We start from the raw sequence: 19,584 nt of genomic DNA on the forward strand, positions 1-19,584 counted from the left end.
AAAGACTTAGTTTGTGCAGTGTGCAAGTGGATATTTGGAACTCTTTGAGGCCTTCGTTGGAAACGGGATTTCTTCTTATAATTCTTGACAAAAGAATTCTCAGTAGCTTCTTTGTGTGTGTGTATTCAACTCACAGAGTTGAACCTTCCTTTAGACAGAGCAGATTGGAAACACTCTTTTTGTGGAATTTGCAAGTGGAGAATTCTAGCGCTTTGACGCCAATGGTAGAAAGGAAATATCTTCGTATAAAAACTAGACAGTATCATTCTCAGAAGCTACTTTGTGATGTGTGCGTTCAACTCACAGAGTTTAACCTTTCTTTTCATAGAGCGGTTTGGAAACCCTCTGTTTGTGAAGTCTGCAAGTGGATATTTAAACGTCTTTGAGGCCTTCGTTGGAAACGGGATTTTTTCATATAAACCAGGACAGAAGAATTCTCAGAAACTTCTTGATTGTTATGTGTGCATTCAACTCACAGAGTTGAACCTTACTTTGGAAAGAGCAGTTTTCTAACACTCTTTTTGTAAAAGTTCCAAGTGAATACTTTGAGTGCTTTGAAGCCTACGGTTGACAACGAAATATCTTCATGTAAAAACTACAAAGAATCATTCGCAGAAACCACGTTGTGATCTCTGCATTCAACTCACAGTGTTGAACCTTTCTTCCTATAGAGCAGTTATGAAACAGTCTCTTTGTAGAATTTGCAAGGGTGTATTTAGAGGGCATTGAAGCCTACGGTAGAAAAGGAAATATCTTACCATAAAATCTAGTCAGAAGCATTCTCAGAAACTGAGTTGTGATGTTTGCATTCAACTCACAGAGTTCAACATTCCTTTTAATGGAGCGGTTTTGAAACACTCTTTTTGCAGAATCTGCAAGTGGATATTTGGACCTCTTTGAGGCCTTCGTTGGAAACGGGATTTCTTCATGTAATGCCAGACAGAAGAATTCTCAGTGAATTCTTTCTGTGTGTGTGTATTCAACTCACAGAGTTGAACGTTCCTTTAGACAGAGTAGATTGGAAACACTCTTTTTGTGGAATTTTCAGGTGGAGGTATCAAGCGCTTTGAGGCCAATGATAGAAAAGGAAATACCTTCGTATAATAATTAGACGGAATCATTCTCAGAAACTGCTTTGCAATGTGTGCGTTCAACTCACAGTGTTTAACCTTTCTTTTCATACAGTTGTTTCGAAACACTCTTTTTGCAGAATCTGCAAGTGGATATTTGGACCTCTTTGAAGTCTTCGTTGGAAATGGGATTTCTTCATATAATGCTAGACAGAAGACTTCTCAGTAACTGCTTTTTCTGGTGTGTATTCAACTCTCAGAGTTGAACTTTCCTTTAGAAACAGCAGATTTGAAACTCTCTTTTTGTGGAATTTGCAAGTGGAGATTTCAGAGCTTTGAGGCCAATGGTAGAAAAGGAAATATCTTCGTGTGCAAACTAGACAGAATCATTCTCAGAAACTACTTTGGTACGTGTGTGTTCAACTCACAGTGTTTAACCTTTCTTTTCATAGAGCAGTTTGGAAACACTCAGTTTGTAAAGTCAGCAACTGGATATTTGGATGTATTTGAGGCCTTCGTTGGAAACGGGATTTCTTCATATAATGCTAGACAGAAGAATTCTCAGTAACTTCTTTGGGTTGTGGGTATTCAACTCACAGAGTTGAAGCTTCCTTTAGGCGGAGCAGATTGGAAACACTTTTTGTGGAATTTTCAGGGGGAGACTTCAAGCGCATTGAAGTGAATGGTAGAAAAGGAAATATCTTCGTATAAAAACTAGACGGAGTCATTCTCAGAAACTACTTTGTGATGTTTGCGTTCAACTCACAGAGTTTAACGTTTCTTTTCATAGAGCAGTTTGGAAACACTCTTTTTGCAGAATCTGCAAGTGGATATTTGGACCTCTTTGTGGCCTTCGTTGGAAACGGGATTTTTCATATAATGCTAGACAGAAGAATTCTCAGTAACTTCTTTTTGTGGTGTGTATTCAACTCACAGAGTTGAACCTTCCTTTAGACAGAGCAGATTTGAAACTCTCTTTTTGTGGAATTTGCAAGTGGAGATTTCAAGCGCTTTGAGGCCAACGGCAGAAAAGGAAATATCTTCGTAGAAAAAATAGACGGCATCATTCTCAGAAACTGCTTTGGGATGTGTGCATTGAACTCACAGTGTTTAACACTTCTTTTCATAGAGCACTTTGGAAACACTCAGGTTGTAATGTCTGCAGCTGGATATTTGGACCTCTTTGAGGCCTTCGTAGTAAACGGGATTTCTTCGTGTCATGATAGACAATAGAATTCTCAGTGAATTTTTTTCTGTGTGTGTGTATTCAACTCACAGGGTTGAACCTTCCTTTAGACAGTGCAGATTTGAGACACTTGTCTGTGGAATTTGCAAGGGGTGATTTCAAGCACTTTGAGGCCATTGGTGGAAAAGGAAATATCTTCGTATGAAAACTAGACAGAATCATTCTCAGGAACTACTTTGTGATATGTGCATTCAACTCACAGAGTTTAACCTTTCTTTTCATAGATGAGTTTGGAAACAGTCAGTTTGTAAATTCTGCAACTGGATATTTGGACCTCTTTGAGGCTTTCGTTGGAAACGGGATTTCTTCACATAATGCTAGACAGAAGAATTCTCAGTAACTTCTTTTGGGATGTATGTATTCAAATCAGAGAGTTGAACCTTCCTTTAGACAGAGCGGATTGGAAACACTCTTTTTGTGGAATTTGCAAGTGGAAAATTCTAGCAGTATGAGGCCAATGGTACAAAAGGAAATATCTTCGTATAAAAACTAGACAGTATCATTCTCAGAAACTGCTTTGTGATGTGTGTATTAAACTCACAGAGTTGAACATTTCTTTGCATAGAGCAGTTTGGAAAGACTTAGTTTGTGCAGTGTGCAAGTGGATATTTGGAACTCTTTGAGGCCTTCGTTGGAAACGGGATTTCTTCTTATAATTCTTGACAAAAGAAATTCTCAGTAGCTTCTTTGTGTGTGTGTATTCAACTCACAGAGTTGAACCTTCCTTTAGACAGAGCAGATTGGAAACACTCTTTTTGTGGAATTTGCAAGTGGAGAATTCTAGCGCTTTGACGCCAATGGAAGGAAAGGAAATATCTCCGTATAAAAACTAGACAGTATCATTCTCAGAAACTACTTTGTGATGTGTGCGTTCAACTCACAGAGTTTAACCTTTCTTTTCATAGAGCAGTTTGGAAACACTCTGTTTGTGAAGTCTGCAAGTGGATATTTAAACGTCTTTGAGGCCTTCGTTGGAAACGGGATTTTTTCATATAAACCAGGACAGAAGAATTCTCAGAAACTTCTTGATTGTTATGGGTGCATTCAACTCACAGAGTTGAACCTTACTTTGGAAAGAGCAGTTTTCTAACACTCTTTTTGTAAAAGTTCCAAGTGAATACTTTGAGTGCTTTGAAGCCTACGGTTGACAACGAAATATCTTCATGTAAAAACTACAAAGAATCATTCGCAGAAACCACGTTGTGATCTCTGCATTCAACTCACAGAGTTGAACCTTTCTTCCTATAGAGCAGTTATGAAACAGTCTCTTTGTAGAATTTGCAAGGGTGTATTTAGAGGGCATTGAAGCCTACGGTAGAAAAGGAAATATCTTACCATAAAATCTAGTCAGAAGCATTCTCAGCAACTGAGTTGTGATGTTTGCATTCAACTCACAGAGTTCAACATTCCTTTTAATGGAGCGGTTTTGAAACACTCTTTTTGCAGAATCTGCAAGTGGATATTTGGACCTCTTTGAGGCCTTCGTTGGAAACGGGATTTCTTCATGTAATTCCAGACAGAAGAATTCTCAGTGAATTCTTTCTGTGTGTGTGTATTCAACTCACAGAGTTGAACGTTCCTTTAGACAGAGTAGATTGGAAACACTCTTTTTGTGGAATTTTCAGGTGGAGGTATCAAGCGCTTTGAGGCCAATGATAGAAAAGGAAATACCTTCGTATAATAATTAGACGGAATCATTCTCAGAAACCGCTTTGCAATGTGTGCGTTCAACTCACAGTGTTTAACCTTTCTTTTCATACAGTTGTTTCGAAACACTCTTTTTGCAGAATCTGCAAGTGGATATTTGGACCTCTTTGAAGTCTTCGTTGGAAATGGGATTTCTTCATATAATGCTAGACAGAAGACTTCTCAGTAACTGCTTTTTCTGGTGTGTATTCAACTCTCAGAGTTGAACTTTCCTTTAGAAACAGCAGATTTGAAACTCTCTTTTTGTGGAATTTGCAAGTGGAGATTTCAGAGCTTTGAGGCCAATGGTAGAAAAGGAAATATCTTCGTATGCAAACTAGACAGAATCATTCTCAGAAACTACTTTGGTACGTGTGTGTTCAACTCACAGTGTTTAACCTTTCTTTTCATAGAGCAGTTTGGAAACACTCAGTTTGTAAAGTCAGCAACTGGATATTTGGATGTATTTGAGGCCTTCGTTGGAAACGGGATTTCTTCATATAATGCTAGACAGAAGAATTCTCAGTAACTTCTTTGGGTTGTGGGTATTCAAGTCACAGAGTTGAAGCTTCCTTTAGGCGGAGCAGATTGGAAACACTTTTTGTGGAATTTTCAGGGGGAGACTTCAAGCGCTTTGAAGTGAATGGTAGGAAAGGAAATATCTTCGTATAAAAACTAGACGGAGTCATTCTCAGAAACTACTTTGTGATGTTTGCGTTCAACTCACAGAGTTTAACGTTTCTTTTCATAGAGCAGTTTGGAAACACTCTTTTTGCAGAATCTGCAAGTGGATATTTGGACCTCTTTGTGGCCTTCGTTGGAAACGGGATTTTTCATATAATGCTAGACAGAAGAATTCTCAGTAACTTCTTTTTGTGGTGTGTATTCAACTCACAGAGTTGAACCTTCCTTTAGACAGAGCAGATTTGAAACTCTCTTTTTGTGGAATTTGCAAGTGGAGATTTCAAGCGCTTTGAGGCCAACGGCAGAAAAGGAAATATCTTCGTAGAAAAAATAGACGGAATCATTCTCAGAAACTGCTTTGGGATGTGTGCATTGAACTCACAGTGTTTAACACTTCTTTTCATAGAGCACTTTGGAAACACTCAGTTTGTAATGTCTGCAGCTGGATATTTGGACCTCTTTGAGGCCTTCGTAGTAAACGGGATTTCTTCGTGTAATGATAGACAATAGAATTCTCAGTGAATTTTTTTCTGTGTGTGTGTATTCAACTCACAGGGTTGAACCTTCCTTTAGACAGTGCAGATTTGAAACACTTGTCTGTGGAATTTGCAAGGGGAGATTTCAAGCACTTTGAGGCCATTGGTGGAAAAGGAAATATCTTCGTATAAAAACTAGACAGAATCATTCTCAGGAACTACTTTGTGATATGTGCATTCAACTCACAGAGTTTAACCTTTCTTTTCATAGATGAGTTTGGAAACAGTCAGTTTGTAAATTCTGCAACTGGATATTTGGACCTCTTTGAGGCTTTCGTTGGAAACGGGATTTCTTCACATAATGCTAGACAGAAGAATTCTCAGTAAATTCTTTTGGGATGTATGTATTCAAATCAGAGAGTTGAACCTTCCTTTAGACAGAGCGGATTGGAAACACTCTTTTTGTGGAATTTGCAAGTGGAAAATTCTAGCAGTATGAGGCCAATGGTACAAAAGGAAATATCTTCGTACAAAAACTAGACAGTATCATTCTCAGAAACTGCTTTGTGATGTGTGTATTAAACTCACAGAGTTGAACATTTCTTTGCATAGAGCAGTTTGGAAAGACTTAGTTTGTGCAGTGTGCAAGTGGATATTTGGAACTCTTTGAGGCCTTCGTTGGAAACGGGATTTCTTCTTATAATTCTTGACAAAAGAATTCTCAGTAGCTTCTTTGTGTGTGTGTATTCAACTCACAGAGTTGAACCTTCCTTTAGACAGAGCAGATTGGAAACACTCTTTTTGTGGAATTTGCAAGTGGAGAATTCTAGCGCTTTGACACCAATGGTAGAAAGGAAATATCTTCGTATAAAAACTAGACAGTATCATTCTCAGAAGCTACTTTGTGATGTGTGCGTTCAACTCACAGAGTTTAACCTTTATTTTCATAGAGCAGTTTGGAAACACTCTGTTTGTGAAGTCTGCAAGTGGATATTTAAACGTCTTTGAGGCCTTCGTTGGAAACGGGATTTTTTCATATAAACCAGGACAGAAGAATTCTCAGAAACTTCTTGATTGTTATGTGTGCATTCAACTCACAGAGTTGAACCTTACTTTGGAAAGAGCAGTTTTCTAACACTCTTTTTGTAAAAGTTCCAAGTGAATACTTTGAGTGCTTTGAAGCCTACGGTTGACAACGAAATATCTTCATGTAAAAACTACAAAGAATCATTCGCAGAAACCACGTTGTGATCTCTGCATTCAACTCACAGAGTTGAACCTTTCTTCCTATAGAGCAGTTATGAAACAGTCTCTTTGTAGAATTTGCAAGGGTGTATTTAGAGGGCATTGAAGCCTACGGTAGAAAAGGAAATATCTTACCATAAAATCTAGTCAGAAGCATTCTCAGAAACTGAGTTGTGATGTTTGCATTCAACTCACAGAGTTCAACATTCCTTTTAATGGAGCGGTTTTGAAACACTCTTTTTGCAGAATCTGCAAGTGGATATTTGGACCTCTTTGAGGCCTTCGTTGGAAACGGGATTTCTTCATGTAATGCCAGACAGAAGAATTCTCAGTGAATTCTTTCTGTGTGTGTGTATTCAACTCACAGAGTTGAACGTTCCTTTAGACAGAGTAGATTGGAAACACTCTTTTTGTGGAATTTTCAGGTGGAGGTATCAAGCGCTTTGAGGCCAATGATAGAAAAGGAAATACCTTCGTATAATAATTAGACGGGAATCATTCTCAGAAACTGCTTTGCAATGTGTGCGTTCAACTCACAGTGTTTAACCTTTCTTTTCATACAGTTGTTTCGAAACACTCTTTTTGCAGAATCTGCAAGTGGATATTTGGACCTCTTTGAAGTCTTCGTTGGAAATGGGATTTCTTCATATAATGCTAGACAGAAGACTTCTCAGTAACTGCTTTTTCTGGTGTGTATTCAACTCTCCGAGTTGAACTTTCCTTTAGAAACAGCAGATTTGAAACTCTCTTTTTGTGGAATTTGCAAGTGGAGATTTCAGAGCTTTGAGGCCACTGGTAGAAAAGGAAATATCTTCGTATGCAAACTAGACAGAATCATTCTCAGAAACTACTTTGGTACGTGTGTGTTCAACTCACAGTGTTTAACCTTTCTTTTCATAGAGCAGTTTGGAAACACTCAGTTTGTAAAGTCAGCAACTGGATATTTGGATGTATTTGAGGCCTTCGTTGGAAACGGGATTTCTTCATATAGTGCTAGACAGAAGAATTCTCAGTAACTTCTTTGGGTTGTGGGTATTCAACTCACAGAGTTGAAGCTTCCTTTAGGCGGAGCAGATTGGAAACACTTTTTGTGGAATTTTCAGGGGGAGACTTCAAGCGCTTTGAAGTGAATGGTAGAAAAGGAAATATCTTCGTATAAAAACTAGACGGAGTCATTCTCAGAAACTACTTTGTGATGTTTGCGTTCAACTCACAGAGTTTAACGTTTCTTTTCATAGAGCAGTTTGGAAACACTCTTTTTGCAGAATCTGCAAGTGGATATTTGGACCTCTTTGTGGCCTTCGTTGGAAACGGGATTTTTCATATAATGCTAGACAGAAGAATTCTCAGTAACTTCTTTTTGTGGTGTGTATTCAACTCACAGAGTTGAACCTTCCTTTAGACAGAGCAGATTTGAAACTCTCTTTTTGTGGAATTTGCAAGTGGAGATTTCAAGCGCTTTGAGGCCAACGGTAGAAAAGGAAATATCTTCGTAGAAAAAATAGACGGAATCATTCTCAGAAACTGCTTTGGGATGTGTGCATTGAACTCACAGTGTTTAACACTTCTTTTCATAGAGCACTTTGGAAACACTCAGTTTGAAATGTCTGCAGCTGGATATTTGGACCTCTTTGAGGCCTTCGTAGTAAACGGGATTTCTTCGTGTAATGATAGACAATAGAATTCTCAGTGAATTTTTTTCTGTGTGTGTGTATTCAACTCACAGGGTTGAACCTTCCTTCAGACAGTGCAGATTTGAAACACTTTTCTGTGGAATTTGCAAGGGGAGATTTCAAGCACTTTGAGGCCATTGGTGGAAAAGGAAATATCTTCGTATAAAAACTAGACAGAATCATTCTCAGGAACTACTTTGTGATATGTGCATTCAACTCACAGGGTTTAACCTTTCTTTTCATAGATGAGTTTGGAAACAGTCAGTTTGTAAATTCTGCAACTGGATATTAGGACCTCTTTGAGGCTTTCGTTGGAAACGGGATTTCTTCACATAATGCTAGACAGAAGAATTCTCAGTAACTTCTTTTGGGATGTATGTATTCAACTCATAGAGTTGAACCTTCCTTTAGACAGAGCGGATTGGAAACACGCTTTTTGCGGAATTTTCAGGTGGAGATTCCAAGAGCCTTGAGGCCAATGGTAGAAAAGGCTATCTTCGTATAAAAACTAGAGGGAATCATTCTCAGAAACTGCTTTGTGATGTGTGCATTAAACTCACAGGGTTGAACATTTCTTTGCATAGAGCAGTTTGGAAAGACTTAGTTTGTACAGTGTGCAAGTGGATATATGGAACTCTTTGAGGCCTTCGTTGGAAACGGGATTTCTTCTTATAATTCTTGACAAAAGAATTCTCAGTAGCTTCCTTGTGTGTGTGTATTCAACTAACAGAGTTGAACCTGCCTTTAGGCAGAGCAGATTGGAAACTCTCTTTTTGTGGAATTTGCAAGTGGAGAATTCTAGCGCTTTGACGCCAATGGTAGGAAAGGAAATCTCTTCGTATAAAAACTGGACAGTATCATTCTCAGAAACTACTTTGTGATGTGTGCGTTCAACTCACAGAGTTTAACCTTTCTTTTCATAGACCAGTTTGGAAACACTCTGTTTGTGAAGTCTGCAAGTGGATATTTAAACGTCTTTGAGGCCTTCGTTGGAAACGGGATTTTTTCATATAAACCAGGACAGAAGAATTCTCAGAAACTTCTTGTTTGTTATGTGTGCATTCAACTCACAGAGTTGAACCTTACTTTGGAAAGAGCAGTTTTCTAACACTCTTTTTGTAAAAGTTCCAAGTGAATACTTTGAGTGCTTTGAAGCCTACGGTAGACAACGATATATCTTCATGTAAAAACTACAAAGAATCATTCGCCGAAACCACGTTGTGATCTCCGCATTCAACTCACAGAGTTCAACCTTTCTTCCTATAGAGCAGTTATTAAACAGTCTCTTTGTAGAATTTGCAAGGGTGTATTTAGAGGGAATTGAAGCCTACGGTAGAAAAGGAAATATCTGACCATAAAATCTAGTCAGAAGCATTCTCAGAAACTGAGTTGTGATGTTTGCATTCAACTCACAGAGTTCAACATTCCTTTTCATGGAGCGGTTTTGAAACACTCTTTTTGCAGAATCTGCAAGTGGATATTTGGACCTCTTTGAGGCCTTCGTTGGAAACGGGATTTCTTCATGTAATGCCAGACAGAAGAATTCTCAGTGAATTCTTTCTGTGTGTGTGTATTCAACTCACAGAGTTGAACGTTCCTTTAGACAGAGTAGATTGGAAACACTCTTTTTGTGGAATTTTCAGGTGGAGGTATCAAGCGCTTTGAGGCCAATGATAGAAAAGGAAATACCTTCGTATAATAATTAGACGGAATCATTCTCAGAAACTGCTTTGCAATGTGTGCGTTCAACTCACAGTGTTTAACCTTTCTTTTCATACAGTTGTTTCGAAACACTCTTTTTGCAGAATCTGCAAGTGGATATTTGGACCTCTTTGAAGTCTTCGTTGGAAATGGGATTTCTTCATATAATGCTAGACAGAAGACTTCTCAGTAACTGCTTTTTCTGGTGTGTATTCAACTCTCAGAGTTGAACTTTCCTTTAGAAACAGCAGAGTTGAAACTCTCTTTTTGTGGAATTTGCAAGTGGAGATTTCAGAGCTTTGAGGCCAATGGTAGAAAAGGAAATATCTTCGTATGCAAACTAGACAGAATCATTCTCAGAAACTACTTTGGTACGTGTGTGTTCAACTCACAGTGTTTAACCTTTCTTTTCATAGAGCAGTTTGGAAACACTCAGTTTGTAAAGTCAGCAACTGGATATTTGGATGTATTTGAGGCCTTCGTTGGAAACGGGATTTCTTCATATAATGCTAGACAGAAGAATTCTCAGTAACTTCTTTGGGTTGTGGGTATTCAAGTCACAGAGTTGAAGCTTCCTTTAGGCGGAGCAGATTGGAAACACTTTTTGTGGAATTTTCAGGGGGAGACTTCAAGCGCTTTGAAGTGAATGGTAGGAAAGGAAATATGCTTCGTATAAAAACTAGACGGAAGTCATTCTCAGAAACTACTTTGTGATGTTTGCGTTCAACTCACAGAGTTTAACGTTTCTTTTCATAGAGCAGTTTGGAAACACTCTTTTTGCAGAATCTGCAAGTGGATATTTGGACCTCTTTGTGGCCTTCGTTGGAAACGGGATTTTTCATATAATGCTAGACAGAAGAATTCTCAGTAACTTCTTTTTGTGGTGTGTATTCAACTCACAGAGTTGAACCTTCCTTTAGACAGAGCAGATTTGAAACTCTCTTTTTGTGGAATTTGCAAGTGGAGATTTCAAGCGCTTTGAGGCCAACGGCAGAAAAGGAAATATCTTCGTAGAAAAAATAGACGGAATCATTCTCAGAAACTGCTTTGGGATGTGTGCATTGAACTCACAGTGTTTAACACTTCTTTTCATAGAGCACTTTGGAAACACTCAGTTTATAATGTCTGCAGCTGGATATTTGGACCTCTTTGAGGCCTTCGTAGTAAACGGGATTTCTTCGTGTAATGATAGACAATAGAATTCTCAGTGAATTTTTTTCTGTGTGTGTGTATTCAACTCACAGGGTTGAACCTTCCTTTAGACAGTGCAGATTTGAAACACTTGTCTGTGGAATTTGCAAGGGGAGATTTCAAGCACTTTGAGGCCATTGGTGGAAAAGGAAATATCTTCGTATGAAAACTATACAGAATCATTCTCAGGAACTACTTTGTGATATGGGCATTCAACTCCCAGAGTTTAACCTTTCTTTTCATAGATGAGTTTGGAAACAGTCAGTTTGTAAATTCTGCAACTGGATATTTGGACCTCTTTGAGGCTTTCGTTGGAAACGGGATTTCTTCACATAATGCTAGACAGAAGAATTCTCAGTAACTTCTTTTGGGATGTATGTATTCAAATCAGAGAGTTGAACCTTCCTTTAGACAGAGCGGATTGGAAACACTCTTTTTGTGGAATTTGCAAGTGGAAAATTCTAGCAGTATGAGGCCAATGGTACAAAAGGAAATATCTTCGTATAAAAACTAGACAGTATCATTCTCAGAAACTGCTTTGCGATGTGTGTATTAAACTCACAGAGTTGAACATTTCTTTGCATAGAGCAGTTTGGAAAGACTTAGTTTGTGCAGTGTGCAAGTGGATATTTGGAACTACTTTGAGGCCTTCGTTGGAAACGGGATTTCTTCTTATAATTCTTGACAAAAGAATTCTCAGTAGCTTCTTTGTGTGTGTGTATTCAACTCACAGAGTTGAACCTTCCTTTAGACAGAGCAGATTGGAAACACTCTTTTTGTGGAATTTGCAAGTGGAGAATTCTAGCGCTTTGACGCCAATGGTAGAAAGGAAATATCTTCGTATAAAAACTAGACAGTATCATTCTCAGAAGCTACTTTGTGATGTGTGCGTTCAACTCACAGAGTTTAACCTTTCTTTTCATAGAGCAGTTTGGAAACCCTCTGTTTGTGAAGTCTGCAAGTGGATATTTAAACGTCTTTGAGGCCTTCGTTGGAAACGGGATTTTTTCATATAAACCAGGACAGAAGAATTCTCAGAAACTTCTTGATTGTTATGTGTGCATTCAACTCACAGAGTTGAACCTTACTTTGGAAAGAGCAGTTTTCTAACACTCTTTTTGTAAAAGTTCCAAGTGAATACTTTGAGTGCTTTGAAGCCTACGGTTGACAACGAAATATCTTCATGTAAAAACTACAAAGAATCATTCGCAGAAACCACGTTGTGATCTCTGCATTCAACTCACAGAGTTCAACCTTTCTTCCTATAGAGCAGTTATGAAACAGTCTCTTTGTAGAATTTGCAAGGGTGTATTTAGAGGGCATTGAAGCCTACGGCAGAAAAGGAAATATCTTACCATAAAATCTAGTCAGAAGCATTCTCAGAAACTGAGTTGTGATGTTTGCATTCAACTCACAGAGTTCAACATTCCTTTTCATGGAGCGGTTTTGAAACACTCTTTTTGCAGAATCTGCAAGTGGATATTTGGACCTCTTTGAGGCCTTCGTTGGAAACGGGATTTCTTCATGTAATGCCAGACAGAAGAACTCTCAGTGAATTCTTTCTGTGTGTGTGTATTCAACTCACAGAGTTGAACGTTCCTTTAGACAGAGTAGATTGGAAACACTCTTTTTGTGGAATTTTCAGGTGGAGGTATCAAGCGCTTTGAGGCCCATGATAGAAAAAGAAATACCTTCGTATAATAATTAGACGGAATCATTCTCAGAAACTGCTTTGCAATGTGTGCCTTCAACTCACAGCGTTTAACCTTTCTTTTCATACAGTTGTTTCGAAACACTCTTTTTGCAGAATCTGCAAGTGGATATTTGGACCTGTTTGAAGTCTTCTTTGGAAATGGGATTTCTTCATATAATGCTAGACAGAAGACTTCTCAGTAACTGCTTTTTCTGGTGTGTATTCAACTCTCAGAGTTGAACTTTCCTTTAGAAACAGCAGATTTGAAACTCTCTTTTTGTGGAATTTGCAAGTGGAGATTTCAAAGCTTTGAGGCCAATGGTAGAAAAGGAAATATCTTCGTATGCAAAGTAGACAGAATCATTCTCAGAAACTACTTTGGTACGTGTGTGTTGAACTCACAGTGTTTAACCTTTCCTTTCATAGAGCAGTTTGGAAACACTCAGTTTGTAAAGTCAGCAACTGGATATCTGGATGTATTTGAGGCCTTCGTTGGAAACGGGATTTCTTCATGTAATGCTAGACAGAAGAATTCTCAGTAACTTCTTTGGGTTGTGGGTATTCAACTCACAGAGCTGAAGCTTCCTTTAGGCGGAGCAGATTGGAAACACTTTTTGTGGAATTTTCAGGGGGAGACTTCAAGCGCTTTGAGGCCAACGGTAGAAAAGGAAATATCTTCGTATAAAAACTAGACGGAGTCATTCTCAGAAACTACTTTGTGATGTTTGCGTTCAACTCACAGAGTTTAACCTTTCTTTTCATAGAGCAGTTTGGAAACACTCTTTTTGCAGAATCTGCAAGTGGATATTTGGACCTCTTTGTGGCCTTCGTTGGAAACGGGATTTTTCATATAAAGCTAGACAGAAGAATTCTCAGTAACTTCTTTTTGTTGTGTATTCAACTCACAGAGTTGAACCTTCCTTTAGACAGAGCAGATTTGAAACTCTCTTTTCGTGGAATTTGCAAGTGGAGATTTCAAGTGCTTTCAGGCCAACGGTAGAAAAGGAAATATCTTCGTAGAAAAAATAGACGGAATCATTCTCAGAAACTGCTTTGGGATGTGTGCATTGAACTCACAGTGTTTAACACTTCTTTTCATAGAGCACTTTGGAAACACTCAGTTTGTAATGTCTGCAGCTGGATATTTGGACCTCTTTGAGGCCTTCGAAGTAAACGGGATTTCTTCGTGTAATGATAGACAATAGAATTCTCAGTGAAATTTTTTCTGTGTGTGTGTATTCAACTCACAGGGTTGAACCTTCCTTCAGACAGTGCAGATTTGAAACACTTTTCTGTGGAATTTGCAAGGGGAGATTTCAAGCACTTTGAGGCCATTGGTGGAAAAGGAAATATCTTCGTATAAAAACTAGACAGAATCATTCTCAGGAACTACTTTGTGATACGTGCATTCAACTCACAGGGTTTAACCTTTCTTTTCATAGATGAGTTTGGAAACAGTCAGTTTGTAAATTCTGCAACTGGATATTAGGACCTCTTTGAGGCGTTCGTTGGAAACGGGATTTCTTCACATAATGCTAGACAGAAGAATTCGCAGTAACTTCTTTTGGGATGTATGTATTCAACTCGGAGAGTTGAACCTTCCTTTAGACAGAGCGCATTGGAAACACGCTTTTTGCGGAATTTTCAGGTGGAGATTCCAAGAGCCTTGAGACCAATGGTAGAAAAGGATATCTTCATATAAAAACTAGAGGGAATCATTCTCAGAAACTGCTTTCTGATGTGTGCATTAAACTCACAGGGTTGAACATTTCTTTGCATAGAGCAGTTTGGAAAGAGTTAGTTTGTACAGTGTGCAAGTGGATATTTGGAACTCTTTGAGGCCTTCGTTGGAAACGGGATTTCTTCTTATAATTCTTGACAAAAGAATTCTCAGTAGCTTCTTTGTGTGTGTGTATTCAACTCACAGAGTTGAACCTTCCTTTAGACAGAGCAGATTGGAAACACTCTTTTTGTGGAATTTGCAAGTGGAGAATTCTAGCGCTTTGACGCCAATGGTAGAAAGGAAATATCTTCGTATAAAAACTAGACAGTATCATTCTCAGAAGCTACTTTGTGATGTGTGCGTTCAACTCACAGAGTTTAACCTTTCTTTTCATAGAGCAGTTTGGAAACACTCTGTTTGTGAAGTCTGCAAGTGGATATTTAAACGTCTTTGAGGCCTTCGTTGGAAACGGGATTTTTTCATATAAACCAGGACAGAAGAATTCTCAGAAACTTCTTGATTGTTATGTGTGCATTCAACTCACAGAGTTGAACCTTACTTTGGAAAGAGCAGTTTTCTAACACTCTTTTTGTAAAAGTTCCAAGTGAATACTTTGAGTGCTTTGAACCCTACGGTTGACAACGAAATATCTTCCTGTAAAAACTACAAAGAATCATTCGCAGAAACCACGTTGTGATCTCTGCATTCAACACACAGAGTTGAACCTTTCTTCCTATAGAGCAGTTATGAAACAGTCTCTTTGTAGAAATTGCAAGGGTGTATTTAGAGGGCATTGAAGCCTACGGTAGAAAAGGAAATATCTTACTATAAAATCTAGTCAGAAGCATTCTCAGCAACTGAGTTGTGATGTTTGCATTCAACTCACAGAGTTCAACATTCCTTTTAATGGAGCGGTTTTGAAACACTCTTTTTGCAGAATCTGCAAGTGGATATTTGGACCTCTTTGAGGCCTTCGTTGGAAACGGGATTTCTTCATGTAATGCCAGACAGAAGAATTCTCAGTGAATTCTTTCTGTGTGTGTGTATTCAACTCACAGAGTTGAACGTTCCTTTAGACAGAGTAGATTGGAAACACTCTTTTTGTGGAATTTTCAGGTGGAGGTATCAAGCGCTTTGAGGCCAATGATAGAAAAGGAAATACCTTCGTATAATAATTAGACGGAATCATTCTCAGAAACTGCTTTGCAATGTGTGCGTTCAACTCACAGTGTTTAACCTTTCTTTTCATACAGTTGTTTCGAAACACTCTTTTTGCAGAATCTGCAAGTGGATATTTGGACTTCTTTGAAGTCTTCGTTGGAAATGGGATTTCTTCATATAATGCTAGACAGAAGACTTCTCAGTAACTGCTTTTTCTGGTGTGTATTCAACTCTCAGAGTTGAACTTTCCTTTAGAAACAGCAGATTTGAAACTCTCTTTTTGTGGAATTTGCAAGTGGAGATTTCAGAGCTTTGAGGCCAATGGTAGAAAAGGAAATATCTTCGTATGCAAACTAGACAGAATCATTCTCAGAAACTACTTTGGTACGTGTGTGTTCAACTCACAGTGTTTAACCTTTCTTTTCATAGAGCAGTTTGGAAACACTCAGTTTGTAAAGTCAGCAACTGGATATTTGGATGTATTTGAGGCCTTCGTTGGAAACGGGATTTCTTCATATAATGCTAGACAGAAGAATTCTCAGTAACTTCTTTGGGTTGTGGGTATTCAAGTCACAGAGTTGAAGCTTCCTTTAGGCGGAGCAGATTGGAAACACTTTTTGTGGAATTTTCAGGGGGAGACTTCAAGCGCTTTGAAGTGAATGGTAGGAAAGGAAATATCTTCGTATAAAAACTAGACGGAGTCATTCTCAGAAACTACTTTGTGATGTTTGCGTTCAACTCACAGAGTTTAACGTTTCTTTTCATAGAGCAGTTTGGAAACACTCTTTTTGCAGAATCTGCAAGTGGATATTTGGACCTCTTTGTGGCCTTCGTTGGAAACGGGATTTTTCATATAATGCTAGACAGAAGAATTCTCAGTAACTTCTTTTTGTGGTGTGTATTCAACTCACAGAGTTGAACCTTCCTTTAGACAGAGCAGATTTGAAACTCTCTTTTTGTGGAATTTGCAAGTGGAGATTTCAAGCGCTTTGAGGCCAACGGCAGAAAAGGAAATATCTTCGTAGAAAAAATAGACGGAATCATTCTCAGAAACTGCTTTGGGATGTGTGCATTGAACTCACAGTGTTTAACACTTCTTTTCATAGAGCACTTTGGAAACACTCAGTTTGTAATGTCTGCAGCTGGATATTTGGACCTCTTTGAGGCCTTCGTAGTAAACGGGATTTCTTCGTGTAATGATAGACAATAGAATTCTCAGTGAATTTTTTTCTGTGTGTGTGTATTCAACTCACAGGGTTGAACCTTCCTTTAGACAGTGCAGATTTGAAACACTTGTCTGTGGAATTTGCAAGGGGAGATTTCAAGCACTTTGAGGCCATTGGTGGAAAAGGAAATATCTTCGTATAAAAACTAGACAGAATCATTCTCAGGAACTACTTTGTGATATGTGCATTCAACTCCCAGAGTTTAACCTTTCTTTTCATAGATGAGTTTGGAAACAGTCAGTTTGTAAATTCTGCAACTGGATATTTGGACCTCTTTGAGGCTTTCGTTGGAAACGGGATTTCTTCACATAATGCTAGACAGAAGAATTCTCAGTAACTTCTTTTGGGATGTATGTATTCAAATCAGAGAGTTGAACCTTCCTTTAGACAGAGCGGATTGGAAACACTCTTTTTGTGGAATTTGCAAGTGGAAAATTCTAGCAGTATGAGGCCAATGGTACAAAAGGAAATATCTTCGTATAAAAACTAGACAGTATCATTCTCAGAAACTGCTTTGTGATGTGTGTATTAAACTCACAGAGTTGAACATTTCTTTGCATAGAGCAGTTTGGAAAGACTTAGTTTGTGCAGTGTGCAAGTGGATATTTGGAACTCTTTGAGGCCTTCGTTGGAAACGGGATTTCTTCTTATAATTTCTTGAAAAAAGAATTCTCAGTAGCTTCTTTGTGTGTGTGTATTCAACTCACAGAGTTGAACCTTCCTTTAGACAGAGCAGATTGGAAACACTCTTTTTGTGGAATTTGCAAGTGGAGAATTCTAGCGCTTTGACGCCAATGGTAGAAAGGAAATATCTTCGTATAAAAACTAGACAGTATCATTCTCAGAAGCTACTTTGTGATGTGTGCGTTCAACTCACAGAGTTTAACCTTTCTTTTCATAGAGCAGTTTGGAAACCCTCTGTTTGTGAAGTCTGCAAGTGGATATTTAAACGTCTTTGAGGCCTTCGTTGGAAACGGGATTTTTCCATATAAACCAGGACAGAAGAATTCTCAGAAACTTCTTGATTGTTATGTGTGCATTCAACTCACAGAGTTGAACCTTACTTTGGAAAGAGCAGTTTTCTAACACTCTTTTTGTAAAAGTTCCAAGTGAATACTTTGAGTGCTTTGAAGCCTACGGTTGACAACGAAATATCTTCATGTAAAAACTACAAAGAATCATTCGCAGAAACCACGTTGTGATCTCTGCAGTCAACTCACAGAGTTCAACCTTTCTTCCTATAGAGCAGTTATGAAACAGTCTCTTTGTAGAATTTGCAAGGGTGTATTTAGAGGGCATTGAAGCCTACGGTAGAAAAGGAAATATCTTACCATAAAATCTAGTCAGAAGCATTCTCAGAAACTGAGTTGTGATGTTTGCATTCAACTCACAGAGTTCAACATTCCTTTTAATGGAGCGGTTTTGAAACACTCTTTTTGCAGAATCTGCAAGTGGATATTTGGACCTCTTTGAGGCCTTCGTTGGAAACGGGATTTCTTCATGTAATGCCAGACAGAAGAATTCTCAGTGAATTCTTTCTGTGTGTGTGTATTCAACTCACAGAGTTGAACGTTCCTTTAGACAGAGTAGATTGGAAACACTCTTTTTGTGGAATTTTCAGGTGGAGGTATCAAGCGCTTTGAGGCCAATGATAGAAAAGGAAATACCTTCGTATAATAATTAGATGGAATCATTCTCAGAAACTGCTTTGCAATGTGTGCGTTCAACTCACAGTGTTTAACCTTTCCTTTTCATACAGTTGTTTCGAAACACTCTTTTTGCAGAATCTGCAAGTGGATATTTGGACCTCTTTGAAGTCTTCGTTGGAAATGGGATTTCTTCATATAATGCTAGACAGAAGACTTCTCAGTAACTGCTTTTTCTGGTGTGTATTCAACTCTCAGAGTTGAACTTTCCTTTAGAAACAGCAGATTTGAAACTCTCTTTTTGTGGAATTTGCAAGTGGAGATTTCAGAGCTTTGAGGCCAATGGTAGAAAAGGAAATATCTTCGTATGCAAACTAGACAGAATCATTCTCAGAAACTACTTTGGTACGTGTGTGTTCAACTCACAGTGTTTAACCTTTCTTTTCATAGAGCAGTTTGGAAACACTCAGTTTGTAAAGTCAGCAACTGGATATTTGGATGTATTTGAGGCCTTCGTTGGAAACGGGATTTCTTCATATAATGCTAGACAGAAGAATTCTCAGTAACTTCTTTGGGTTGTGGGTATTCAAGTCACAGAGTTGAAGCTTCCTTTAGGCGGAGCAGATTGGAAACACTTTTTGTGGAATTTTCAGGGGGAGACTTCAAGCGCTTTGAAGTGAATGGTAGGAAAGGAAATATCTTCGTATAAAAACTAGACGGAGTCATTCTCAGAAACTACTTTGTGATGTTTGCGTTCAACTCACAGAGTTTAACGTTTCTTTTCATAGAGCAGTTTGGAAACACTCTTTTTGCAGAATCTGCAAGTGGATATTTGGACCTCTTTGTGGCCTTCGTTGGAAACGGGATTTTTCATATAATGCTAGACAGAAGAATTCTCAGTAACTTCTTTTTGTGGTGTGTATTCAACTCACAGAGTTGAACCTTCCTTTAGACAGAGCAGATTTGAAACTCTCTTTTTGTGGAATTTGCAAGTGGAGATTTCAAGCGCTTTGAGGCCAACGGCAGAAAAGGAAATATCTTCGTAGAAAAAATAGACGGAATCATTCTCAGAAACTGCTTTGGGATGTGTGCATTGAACTCACAGTGTTTAACACTTCTTTTCATAGAGCACTTTGGAAACACTCAGTTTGTAATGTCTGCAG

General features: G+C 38.4%; 1 annotated feature.

Moving 5' to 3' along the window:
• Window positions 1–19,584: part of a centromere (Linear centromere model derived predominantly from reads generated in PMID: 17803354. This region does not represent an actual centromere sequence, as long-range ordering of repeats and unmapped WGS contigs is not provided by the model. For details of model production, see http://arxiv.org/abs/1307.0035.) that runs on past both edges of the window.

This window comes from Homo sapiens, chromosome 3, assembly GCF_000001405.40.
Source record: "Homo sapiens chromosome 3, GRCh38.p14 Primary Assembly".
In the NCBI taxonomy this organism is placed as follows: domain Eukaryota; kingdom Metazoa; phylum Chordata; class Mammalia; order Primates; family Hominidae; genus Homo; species Homo sapiens.